This window comes from Homo sapiens, chromosome 5 (genome assembly GCF_000001405.40).
Source record: "Homo sapiens chromosome 5, GRCh38.p14 Primary Assembly".
Classification (NCBI taxonomy): Eukaryota; Metazoa; Chordata; class Mammalia; order Primates; family Hominidae; genus Homo; species Homo sapiens.
Window position 1 is genome coordinate 77,328,023 of NC_000005.10, and position 13,656 is coordinate 77,341,678.

General features: G+C 40.2%; 1 protein-coding gene across 27 annotated transcripts in view; it reads left to right on the forward strand.

The window, feature by feature from the left end:
* The window catches only part of PDE8B (phosphodiesterase 8B), a 341,542-nt gene that overhangs the window by 241,308 nt on the left and 86,578 nt on the right, over positions 1–13,656 (forward strand). For all 27 annotated transcript variants that reach the window (NM_001414622.1, NM_001414623.1, NM_001349750.3 and 24 more), the window contains 3 exons: positions 976–1,035; positions 3,380–3,437; positions 9,205–9,293. In NM_001414622.1, the coding sequence (NP_001401551.1) occupies positions 976–1,035; positions 3,380–3,437; positions 9,205–9,293 (207 nt within the window). The remainder of the gene's footprint in view (positions 1–975; positions 1,036–3,379; positions 3,438–9,204; positions 9,294–13,656) is intronic.

The following is a 13,656-nucleotide window of genomic DNA, read 5'->3' on the forward strand; positions in this document are numbered from 1 at the left end:
AGCAGAAATGCCCACAGCCAGAGAGAAAAACAAATGCATGTTGTTTCACAAATTACTCAGGAGTAATTCTGTTCTTGGAGATCATGGTTCCCTTCCAAGATATCTCAGAATAAGCAGAGGCCAGACCAAGAGAATAGGTCAAAGCAAGCTGCTGATTCACACCTAGATTCAAGTGTGTGGGCCTTTATTAAAAGTTTGTCCAATTTACAACCCCCTGACCAGAACAGTGCAGAATCTGGGCTGTAGCATGGCACAGCTAAGAAGTTTCATGGACCTCAAAATTCTATGTCCTGATTATTTTGGTCCTGTTTAATTCCTAGGGAATAAACTAACTATATCCAGGTGGTCCTAGTACAACAAACATTATATGGTGACAGGTACTATATTGCAACATTTCTCAGCCCCAGCTGATGATCAAGTTGTTTAAAGTATTTAAGCACAAACTACAGCAGGACTGAAAAATTGAGGTGGCTCTTTGTACCACCTTTAATTGGCTTTAACTGGCATTTGTACATCCAGCTGCCAGCAAGTGCTTTAATTTTTATCATAAGCTCAACTTTCTGAACTACCTGCTATTTTAAAAGAAAAAAGATCAAACCCAGTGAGCTCCCCCAGGTACATACTGATAAGAAGAGGATTGTAGGACTGCCAATTTATTTTTGTTTTGAAGAGTGGAGTTTCAATTTTAAAAAATGGAATTTAAGTGGAATTTGCCAGTTTTTTAAGTGGAAAATTGGCAGGTCTGACCTATTGGATAATTGCCTGGGAGTTAAGAGAAAAAAAATTTTTTAACGAAATGAAGAGATTGTCCTAATCCACAAGGGCATCTTTCTTTGTTGTCTTCTCTGTGTTTTGAGACGTTTTCTTTAGAGAAAGATTTGATGTTGTATCATTTTCAGTGTGAAGAAGTTCCACATTCATTTAATGTAACAAAGCCCAGATCACCTTGTTTGACTTGGAGCCTTCTCATTGCAGGTCGATCCGGGCCACAAATCCCTCCGAGCACACGGTGATCCTCGCAGTGGTTTCGCGAGTGTAAGTGCACCTCCCATTCCCAGATGGAAGGAGTACTGTTCATTCTGAAATATTTGTCAGATGTAATCTGGTTTTTGAGCTATCTAAGCAATGGGTGTGTCTTGGGTCCTAGAACACCAGCCTTAGATCTTGATCTTGCTTTGGGGGTTTTGTTTGTTTCACAAGTTCCTGGAAATATTTAGGTTTTTCTCTGTATCTTGTGTAATTGCCTTTAGCACCTAGTCATACACCTCAGGGAGAAAGTTTACTCATTATATGCCAAAAATGAATGGAAAATTTGAGGAGGAGGTGGTCTGGAGAAAACATTGTTCCAGTTTATCTCTTTTTTTTCCTTTGAAGAAAAGAGATGGGGATATGCTTGTTTTTCATTTAAGAAGAAACACATTTTTTTTCATATTCAAGCATGAGAACAAAGGGGCACTAAATCCACAAGACAAGGGTTGTGAAATTGATGTTGGGACTGATATGTGGCTAGAGGCAGGACAGTAGAGTTTATCCAATGCTGGAAGGCAAAGAAAAGGGATTGCGCTGTAGGTGCAATGAAACTGTAGGATGAGCGCTTGCTCTGCTGGGTTTATCGTCTGAAGTGGCCAGCACTTAAAATAAAAGAGCCAGCAGGAAGAAAAGTTGTCTGTGCAAGCTGCAGTGGTAGAAATCTTGGCAGGTAACAAAATTTGTTGTAGTCTTTTAATGGCTGTATTTAGCTTTGCAGAGAATAAGACCTTATTTAGGACCTAGGACCTATTGGATTTGGCTGCATTATGGCATTTGGCACAAATTCTGCGACAAAGGCCAGGAAAGTCTGGCCCAGGGGACTTGAAATGCCTCATTCCAAAGCCATGTGGATACAACAGGAAATCATGGCTGCAAAGTCTTACCCTCACTGAAGACTCCTACTTACCTGCTACTCCTTGAGTGTCTCCCTAGGGGCTATGTCTTCTCACTTTGTTTGATACCCACCATGGGATGTGGTCCAGAGAAAGCAGAGACATTGTCCTCACTGGTTCATTACACCTCTCCATCCTGGTGGGAGATTAAGATTCCACAGGGAATGAATGAGGGGAACTGAGACATAAGATCAGCATCCTTCAGCCCTCTTTTTTACATTTATCTTCTGGACACTCTGAGATCTGAATGAGGTCATAGAGTCTTGGACATCAATACCAGAAATGTTCAAGGCCACACAGCATTTTTCCCAAGCCTGGCTATTACACGGGTCCAAGAACAAAATACTCTTGTTTTTCTGACTCATATGGCAAAAAGGTTTGCTAGTCCTTGACAAATAATGGTTGACTATGGCTTATTTGTTATGATGTCACCGATTTTTCCTGGTTTAATTATACAATAGTTCATATAGAGAGAGTAGTAATAAAATGAATGTGTGTGTCTATGTCACCCACTTAAGAAATAAAACATTATTAATACCCTTGGAACCCTTTTTGTGGCCTTCCTAACAGTCAGAGAAGATAGAATTTGGAGTTCCAGAAGAAAAAGAAAGTGGGTAAAATAGCTTTTCCCTTAGGGCAGGAATCAGCTGTGGGTAATGCCACAAGTCAGCACTGGGACTTCTGTTCCTGTTTTCTATCTGCGTTTCCACCCAATCCCTTTTATTCCATTTTTCTTCCCTGGTTCTTAGGATATGTCCCCCATGTTACTTGCTGGCTGTCTCAGACACTGTTTCTCTATCTTGGTGATAGAGAGCCCAGTGATGGCATGTCTTCATGACAAGCCAATCCACATCCCACCTTGTACTCAAACTAAAGTCCTGAGACTCAGCAGTAAGCTCACTATAGCAAACCCTCTTGTGAAATGAGTAGCAATTATCCATTTTTGTTTTCTCTCCTTCCCTTCTAACTGTGTGTTCCTGCTGATACTTCTCTCCCATTTGGATTGGGGGTCTTGCAGCCTGGAATGCTGGCTGTCTTCCTCATGTTGAGAGCTGGACCAGCTCGGTTTTGGTGTGGGAGTCATACTTCCAGATGGTTTGGGAACAATTGTCTCCGAATGAACAGTGCACGTAACATGTCCCTTTATGGGACTGCTCCCATACATGTGGCTCAACCCCAAAGGGCAGCTGAGTTGGAAAGGGCCATTCATGTGTACTGAGGGTGATACCTCCAGGTACACTGCTGGAGCTTTCTCTGCTGTTTTTGTTCTTTTTGCATCTGGAAGGTAGATGTGGGGTCTGTATCCTTGAAGGCAGGTGTGCCCCGTGGGCACGTGCTCGTCAGGAAGCCACTCTTGGAGCTAACGCTGTGTGGCCTCATTGCTCTCTCTCCGTGTTTCAGTGTGAGGAATCCTGGTTTGTATCTGCTGAGTGACCACATTTTCTGCTTTGCTGCAGATCGGATGACCATGAAGAGGCGTCAGTCCTTCCTCTTCTCCACGCAGGCTTCAACAGGGTATGTACAAGATATCCAGCATCTCTCTCAGTTGCAGGCACCTTAACCCCTAACTCTCCCATAACAGGGAAGCAAAGCTGCCACGGAGAACTGTTAAGGAAATTAAGCCCCAGGACTGTTGGGGAAAGGAAGAAACTGTGTTCTCATGGGAAAGTAACGAGCAGCTGCCAGTCGAGCTCTTTGCGTTTTTGCTCTCTGGGTTATTTCCATATATCTTAGCAATAGATATACAATGACATAAAAACACATCTTATTATATCAGACTAAAATTCTGTCATCCTAAAGTAATAAAGTAATCTTATTTAAATCAGTACAGTCAATTCGATTTAATGTGTGTGTGATCATACATAGATACATCCACCAAATTGGCACCCAAGATTCTGTTCATCAGGGCTGGCCAGAGCTTCTACCCTAGGGACAGGCCCATGATGACTGTAGCATCCTGTAAACTCCCGGTTGAAACCATTAACATCAGCAAAGAAAAATTCTTTGAGTGACAAACTACACAAATAACACTGAGATTCCACTTGAAGATTAAGAATTACTCCAAGGAAACTCACTAACAAACTAAATAACCAAGCTCACCCAGCATCTCAGGGTAGAAATTAGATTGGAGGCAAAGCTGTGTGCCTGCAAATGGAAAGGAACTGATAGAATGGACTTAAAAGAGAAGAAAGAGAAGAAAGGGAGGAGGAAAAAGATTATCAAAACATGAATGTTTAAAAGAACTATATTCCCTAATATTAAAAAGAAAACAAGTCCTTATAGAGAAATTGTGGAAGACCTTACTTCATATTTTAATTTTTTTAAATAACAAATATATATATTACTCCTATGTAAAAAGTAAAAGGTTTCCCTTAGGAGAATAATAGGATAGAGGACCATGGTTTACTTATACAGCTTTTGCTGATAATCTAAACGCAAGTAATCCTATAGCATCCTGTGACCTCCTGGCTTAAACTATAAACATCATGAATAACACTGATATTCAACTTGAAGATTAAGATTGGTTACTCCAAAGAGACTTACCAAAAAAACTAAGTAACTAGGCATACCCAGTGTCTCAAGATCTCTTGGTAAGAGTAATCTGAATCCCGGCCGGGCACGGTGGCTCACGCCTGTAATCCCAGCACTTTGGGAGGCCAAGGCAGGCAGATCACCTGAGGTTGGGAGTTCGAGACCAGCCTGACCAACGTGGAGAAACCCTGCCCCTACTAAAAATACAAAATTAGCTGGGCGTGGTGGCACATGCCTATAATCCCAGCTACTCAGGAGGCTGAGGCAGGAAAATAGCTTGAACCCAGGAGGTGGAGGTTGCGGTGAGCCAAGATTGCAACATTGCACTCCAGCCTGGACAAGAAGAGTAAAACTCCGTCTCAAAAAAAAAAAAAAAAAGAGTAATCTGAATCCCAAGTAGGTGGAGTGATGTATTTCTTAAAAAATAGGGTACTGCGTGTGCCTTGTGAATTATGAAAATCCTCTGTGTGCTTTAAGTAATGGTACTTTGCTACTCCTGGCTTAAAAATATATATATATATTCCTGTTAGTTGTAGACCACAGAGAAGCAAAAACTACCTTTGTGATGCAGTTGTTTTGTGCTTTGGTATGCTTCAGTGTGGAAGAAAGTGCTATAGAGAAGATTCAAGGTAGTCTAGTGGCTCACGATGCGTGATAGAAATGAATGTTTCCAGCTAGCAATATTTTTCACGCTCCTAACACTTTTTTCTTGTCTGTTATCTCTTCTCACAAAGGTTGGCATTTGGTTCTGAAAGCTATTCTTAGGTGCTATATCTTAATGAGAATGCATGAGACAATGCTTCTGAGTTTTTGGAATGAAGAGTTGCAAAAGAAAAATCAGCAAAGAAGCCATGTGGTTGAGACAGATTTTCTTTACTCACTCATTTTCTAAGAAATAGCTCTAAAATTATTCACAGGCTTCATAGAACTTCTGTGTAATATTGACCCCCCGACTCTACCCCATTCCAATGTCATCCTTTTCAAGTTTGAGTTGGGACCTCATGGAGTGTGAGGACATAGATTTTCCTCATTACCTAGGAGATGATTGGAGAATGGCAATGACACACTGTGGGTTTTATCGATCAGGACCCATGTACGTGCTGTTGAGTGTCCTTTTGGAATTCTACCTTTAGTTCAGTGATCCAACCTCAAACTGGTCTAGAATTGCTGCCATCTGAAGCGATAGCATCTTGTCTGGAAGGCTGAGATTGCACATCTGCTCACAGTTAGGAGAAACAACTGGAACTCTTTGGGTGCAAATGCTATTGAGAAAATTTAACCAAAGTTCCATTGTTTCCTTCTTACACATTTTACAACCTGTCCATGGGGCTCTGGAAGGCTTCATTTGCCACTATCCAGACATGTTACTGTGTTTTGCAGTCAGCCTCAGTGAATAAAGCTTTGGGGGAGGGGCATGAACAGCGGTAGCTGTCAGGGACCACCTGGTGTTCTTCAGTGCTGGCCCTGATAGAGGCCATTTGCCCATTAGGTCAGGGTGCCCCCAGTAGCTTGGGCTCATTCCAGGAGAAGCACGCTGCACCTACAACAGCTCTCCTGGCATTACTGTGGCACACCATCAGCTGAGACTGATCTTCATGTGGTGGTTCTCCTTTTTTGGGCAAAATCCTGTCTTTCACAACTCTCTTCCCAAGCACCTTTTCAAATATGCCAGTTATCTTTGCCTTCCATGAAGTTGTTTCCCATCTCTGAGCTGGTTTGATTGTATTAGATTATCTGCTGAAACTCACCCCTGTGTTGCTAGCTAATTGGCTGGTGCTTCAGTCTGTGGTCCCTGAGTGGGGATCTAGGAACAAATTGTGCCATCACATATCCCACAACAACTCCCCTTGAAGGCTCTGGAGCTATGTGTAAGCAGCCGACTATATAGATGCTAATTCCATGCTGAGCCTTTTAGAAACCAGCATCTTAGCAAAGGACAGTTGCAACTGTTTTTATATCAACTTTATGTGCCTCTTTTTCTATTTGCAAAAATATTTGTTCAATTTAACAAGTGTTTATGGAGTTCTGCCTCTGTGCAATGTGCTAGGCATGCCGGGGGCACAACTGTAGGACACAGTTCTCTGTGGAGAGGCCTTTTGTGGAGTAGGAAGTGGGGAGCTACGATTTATTGTCAGGCCCAGTTCCCAGTGATTTACTTAATCCTCCTCTACATATGAGGGATTTGATATTTTCTCCATTTTTGCAGAGGAGGAAACAGGCTCAAAACAACTAAACTTGCCAGAGCTCACACTCATGACAAAGTCCAGAAGCAAATACATGTTGTTTAACTCCAAACTCTATATTGGGTTCACTAAAGTTAGATTTCCCAAGCTAGTGTTCCACAGAACACCACTGTACCAAAAGCTATTAATACATGGTCCATGAAAAAAGCCTTCTATGATCAAATAAGTTTGGGGAATCAGTGAAAACTCAGTTTCCCCCTCCTCTCACACCTGAGAATCCACAGAGCACTTTTGCAACATTGCATATTAGCATTTTAAATACTCTGAGAAGTCCCATAGTAAAGAAACCTGCTAACTTTGTTTATCCCAACATTTTCTTTCCATTTTTTGCAAAAACTAATCCATGTTTGTTATAGAAAATACAGATAAGCTAAAAATTAAAATTATTTATGCCACCAGCCTTTCAGATTTATTTGTAGGCAGAAATAGAAATGACTGTGTATTATTTACAAAACAGTGTCGTGATATACATACATATCTTTCTATGTTATTCCAGCATTTTCAAAACATATTTTATCATGGTTTTTTCATGTTTTTACAAAACATGAGCTAACAACTCCCTGAGTTCTGTTATAGGCTGATATATAGCTTTTATCCATCTAAAAGCTCAAATGGAATCTAACCATGTTTAACTTTGCTCTGTAAATCAAACAGAAAGTATTTCCCTTATGTGTATGTTTATGGCTTCCTCTCCTTCCTTAGCTCTTCCCAGCTTCCACGTAAGAATTGTGGAGGACCAGAGGCCCAGGGAAAGCCAGGGAGAAGCCAACCACTCCAGATATGTGGAGCCAACCACTCCAGTGTATATGTGGGGTGTGTGTGTGTGTGTGTGTGTGTGTGTGTGTGAGAGAGAGAGGAAGGAGTGAGGAGAGGGATTGATTTTTTTCTCTGGCCAACTTGGGTGAAGGAAATCTAAGAAATACATCTTTCAGCAGGGCCTAGTATTCTCCTCCTCCACTTATATAGCTACCGGAGAAGCAAAAGTATGTGACTAGTAGTTTGGAATACTTTGGAATTCTGCTTATCTTTCTACTTAATAGTTTGCCAGCCATATGCTTAGAAAGGTTTGCATGATATGTTTTTTTAATCAATTAAAATGCATAACATTTCCCCTTTCCTAAGTAGAATTGTCCTTAAATCTCTTCCCTTACTATTTTTTACTTGCTTTTTTTTCTGATTTCATTATTTCTCATTAAGTATTGATGTGATCATGTCAGAGAAGTGCTCAATTTCCTATATACCCTACACTGAATCACATAGCATATATAAGAAATGTAAACCAAATTACTTTGGGATTAAGTGAAAAAGGGCCTACTCCTCTTTAAACGCGGGACTTGAGCAGCTCATGCCTAGCATAAATAGGTGCTTCGTAGTTCTTTGATGAATGACAATGTGTGCTGCATTTTCTTCTATGTTATTATTTGCTTATCTATCTGTTCATTCATTCACTAAGTTTATTTATAAATACATGAAAGCCTTTTTTTTCAATTGAGATGAAACTAAAATTAGCCATTTTAAAGTGAACAATTCAGTGACACTTAGCACATACACAGTGTTGTACAGCCACCACCTCTCTCTAGTTAGAGTGAGAACCTGTTGCAAAACAAACAAGCAAAAAGCCATTTTCATCATTCCCAAATGTGTTCCCATTAAGCGGTCACTCCTAGTCCTCCTCCCCACAGCCCTGACAACCACCAGTCTGCATTCTGGCTCAATCAATTGACCTATTCTAGATATTTCATATACATGGAATCATACAATATGTGAATTTTTCTGTCTGGATTCTTTCACTTAATACATTTTTCGGGTTCATACATGTTGTAGCATGTATCAGTATTTTATTCCCATTTTATGGTCAAGTAATAATCCATTGTATGTATACACCACAATTTGTTTATCTGTTCAAATGTTGGACATTTGGGCTGTTTCTGCCTTTTGGCTATGGTGAATGATGCTGCTATGAACACACATGTATGAGTATTTATTTGAGTACTTGTTTTCAGTTCTTTTGAGTATATACCTAGGAGTGGAATTGCTGGATCATATGAGAATTCTGTGTTTAACTTTTCCCCTGCATTAGGCACTCAGAAAATTAGGAAGGAAGTAAAGAGTAGGCTCTCCCTTCCAAAGAGATCATTGATAATGTGGTGCACACTGAACATGCTGAGTGTTGGGTTTTAGATGATTTTATTAGTGCAATATGAAGCAAAGTGTTTCAGTCATTTACATGGCTGGGCAGGCATTCCGTGCTCTAGAGCATTCATAATGTAGTTTATTCTACCTTTGTTATGCAGGAAGTGAAGTGTACAGTATTACTTGCTCTGTTGTTTCTCATACATTTAAACAAGCACTTTGAACACCTTGACAGCTGTTTCATCTCATCTTACCTACTAATTGTCTTATATAACGGAGTTACCTGGGGATAGGAACAACTGTTAAGTTTCTCTATTTGACTCTCTAAGAAGTAATTATATATGTCTTATGTATTGTCTTTGCTTTCTTTTCAGAGATTTATGGAGAATAGCAGCATAATTGCTTGCTATAATGAACTGATTCAAATAGAACATGGGGAAGTTCGCTCCCAGTTCAAATTACGGTATGTAGCAAAATGATACAGTAACATGAGGTTAACAATTCTTTAGAAAATCTTATCTGTCAACAGGCTGATGTTCAGGGGTTCATAGCTGAATCCCAGGGATTTTGAAGCTTTTAAACAGGCAATGAATGGCAGCTGGCCAACAGCAGTATCTAAGCCAGAAGGCCCATTATATAAAGAAATAAATTGGAAGCATTTCTTCTTTTGACAGTATTTTCCACTATTTACAGAATTTTAAAATTGTAACCTGGGAAAATGCTTAATTTTTGCACAATTAGATCGAGATTAGGAATAGCCTTGAGAATTATTTTCTACTTCCTACTTTCAATATTTATACATTTTTACTTGGATTGTTACGCATAGGGGCAAACTAATGGCGATATTTATCATGCTAACCATAAAAATGGCTAAGTAACCACAATAGCAATTTTATTAAGTCTGTTTGTGGCCTCAATATGCATGAAGTAGCTTTAAGAAACCAGTTTTAAGTCTCTTTACAAGCATATAGTGTTTTAAGAGCAGGCTTGTCATTGGTGCTCAATTCCAGGGATGGGATTCTCTGCGTGTCTGGCTGCTGGCCAGAATGCTGGGCTGGGGGATGTTCTGCTCCTGGGCCCTCTTAGGAATATCAGGGTCCTAGCTCCTGCCTGGTTTTGCTCAGGCTCCACTCTGGCAGGCTTTTTGGACCCTGATGTTTTCCTCTCTTCTCAGCCAGAGAGCAGGGAAAGGAGGAGGCTCTTCTCCACCCGTGGGCCACTGCGGGGCCCAGTCCCCAGGAGCTTCAGGCTGTGTGATGCCAGAAAATTCTGTAGCATGGCCTCTCTCTCTGGCTGACTGAGAAGTCATGCATAGTTTGAGGCTCAACACAAAATAAGTAGGAGAGCATCCTATTATAGTAATTATATGCCTTATCTTGATTACTTATTGTCATTCAAAGACGACAAAATCCTTTTCAAACTTAATTATCCTCCGTCCCAGGGAGGCAAAATGAATCGACATAAACCCAGAGAAGCAGGTTCCCCTGGGGTGCACCCTGGTCAGGGAAGTCACTTTTTGGTGGGTAGAGTGATCTAAGAAATAAAGTGTGGGGATAAACAGTCACTTTCTTAGGTAGAAAAGTATTAAAAAAAGAATCTCAAACCAGTGGGAAATCAGATATTTTGGGACTTCAGGTATTTTTAACAGCCCTTGGTAAGAAATATTGCCAAAGACTTTTTGAGCGTATAAGTAAGCTAGATCCTGTGGTTTCTTTTTATGTGTATGTCAGCTTCAGAGAACTTCACAGAATTTTTCTAGAAACCCATGTTGCCTGTACTTCTGTAATTTATGCCTTTTAATAATGTAGATTAATTGTTATTATTCCTGGGGGTCTCTACTGTTTTTAATTGAAGGTTAAAAGACTTAGTACTTTTATTTTAGATGTTTACACAATAAATAGAATTAGAAAGAGGGGGATTTTACTGTGGTTTAATTCTTCAACTGTGTATTACCCACCATAAAAAATGAACGGCGCAACACCTCATTGCATTGACAGGCAATTCCATTATTTGATTTTAAATAAGTGCTTCTGGTTTTTTAGGCAACATTACATGTGATGGCATATGTTAGGTGCCAGGAGATGCCCTAATACAGATTCTGCAGTGCACATGGGGCACTGGGGGGCTGTCCCAGGAATGTTAGGGGCACCTTGTCCATGATGAGCAGGGCAAAAGCAGGCCTGGAAATTTGAAATAAATATCCCCAGCCAACACAATAGCATAAAGAAAAGCCTTCAGGTTATTGTACTGCTGAAATCTGTTTAGAGCCAGGGCACCAAAGACTTTTTAAGGTCTTATCAGATTCAGAACTTTGCAAGTTTCTAAGTACATTATGTAAGTACTATACTTCTGACCCCTCACTTACTAGAACTGGTTGGGGGCATTGGACCCGTTGTTGAGGTCATAATGAAAAGGCTCAAGTTCTTACTACAAATCAGTGTCAAATTGGATAATGGACTTGACCCACGAAGGTAGTGGCCCCAGGAAAGAAGGTTTGCCTGGCACAGAGATTATCTTGCCTTCTGCACAAGTTTCAGCTGTTGCTTTTTGGTGGGTTCTGCCTCAACCTTATTCAAGTTATCGCCCTTTTGGGTGTGTGTGTGAACATGTGCATGATTTTATGTGCATATTCCCAGGTATTCTGTATCTAGGCCCAGCAGATAGGGGCAGTGACTCATGCCACGGCCTCTCCCCAGCTCCTTAGGGCACTCAGGGACATCTAGCACATATACCTGCACCCCAAGGCAGGCAAGCAACTCTATCATTTGTTGCAGACTGGGAAAATGAGGCTCTTTATTATACAATGCTAGAATAATTATAGTCTAATTATATAATACTTTCCCCTACAATTCCGCCCCCAGCTGCAGCTAAATATGTATCATTACTGTCATTCTGCAAGGACAGTCTGTACTGCAGGATGATGGTGAATGTTAAAGGTAGACACCTCTGCCTAGGTCCCATGTCAGGTGACCATATTTACTTAACCGAGAAACAAAAAGGATCACCTGATGTGATCAAACAGAAGATGTAGTCTAATTTTAAGATTCTATTATATAAAATAACTTAAAGATATAAGAACTAAATCACATATCTGTATGCCTTTGATGAATTACTCTGTTGAATAGAAGAATTTATGAAATGGAGAGCGTCTAGGATAATCTAGATTAAATGATGACTATTTATCTCTTCTGATGTTCTTACACCTCTTTATCATGAAAAGATCTATTTTATCTAAAATAAAGATAATTATTTAGCTACTTAGCAGGAGTTTGGGCTGATCGATATATACTAATGCAGTACCAGCTATTGTTTGATTCATTAGTCAGTCTAGAAGTTACATCCAAGTCATTATGTTTATTTCACTCCAAATCTTAAGACAGTAGCAATCCTCAATTTTAGAAAGAATCAAAATTTTTGGTGGGCAAAACTCTGTATTCTGTGGAACACCACATCTCTCAGTATTAACAGACATTTGTAGAGCACTTTATTCTCATATGGGCTCTGCGTGATAGCCATTGTGTTTCAGGGGTGGAAACTGAGCTGTGAAGGCTTAAAATAACCAGTCCCTATTGCTTTATTGCCCAGTAATGAGTGCCAACAAGTAACAAGGTCACGATCCTCTCACCTCTTCCACTCCCTGCTCCCAACTCATCCCAGACTCCTGCTGGTATGTGGACTTGTGTTCAGAATCTTTTCCCTACAAGCCACCGCCTTGCCCAGTCCTACCCTTGTTCCAGGCAGCCTCACAGTGTGTGTGTGTGTGTGTGTGTGTGTGTGTGTGTGTGTGTGTTGTTTTAGTGGAGTCTAGATAGAGCACTTTTGGAAGGGACACAGGAGATAATGTAACCCAACACCCTGGCCATGATTGACAGAGGAAAACACTGAGAACCATCACAGCTACTCAGCATGTTGGTGGCAGTGGTGGAGTAGAATCCAGGCATCCTGCTTTTTCAGTCTGGTGCACTTTCCACTCAGCATAGCACTATATTATTTATAGACTTTATACCTGGACCCCTGTAATATTTACCTTTTCTCTCTGGACCTTCGAGGGCTCTTAAGAAGGTGCAGGGAAAGTGGTGATATTACCTATACTTCATGGGTTCCCACAACTAGGTTACTTTTCCCTTGTGTTTCTTTTTTCTAGTTTTCCAACTTTTTAACCTGAAGAATAAAACATAAAGATACCTGAGACAAAAGAGTTATATGGTTCCCAAGAACAGATATTAATAAAGCTAAGGTTCTTCTGCCAGAAGAGTATGAATAATTAATACAAGCAATTAAGTTCTAAAACTCTAGAAACATGACTCAAGTTGATTATCTCATTTTGCTGCAGGTTTATTTAAATAGAACCATCAACCAAAGAGGTTGAGAGCCTGAATAAACGTTGTGGTCTGGTAGTGTTTGTTGTGGGGGGCAGGGGTGGGAAATAGTGTGTTCTTTCTACCAATATCCTTTCATTTCAACTGTTGATAAGCATTTACTTTGTCTTATGGGGCTTTATACTTATTGAAAATTTCATGCTTTGTGGATAATCATAAAATGAATGTTTAATAAATTTTGGAGATTGGATCTAAGATCATGTATAAAGGCAACCTCTTGAATTGATGAAAATGATAATAGTCTGAAGTACCTGTTTATATACTTAGTTGAAACCTGTTTACATAGTTAGAGAAAATACTTAGGCAAGAGAGGAATTTGTCATTTGATAAAATGTGTTAATTAAAGCTTAATTATCCAGCTCTCAAAATTAACAAATTAGTCCACATAGAGTGTGTTTCTCCAAGAGTGACTTCTGAAAGACAGCTGCTGCCCAGGAAATCCTTCCC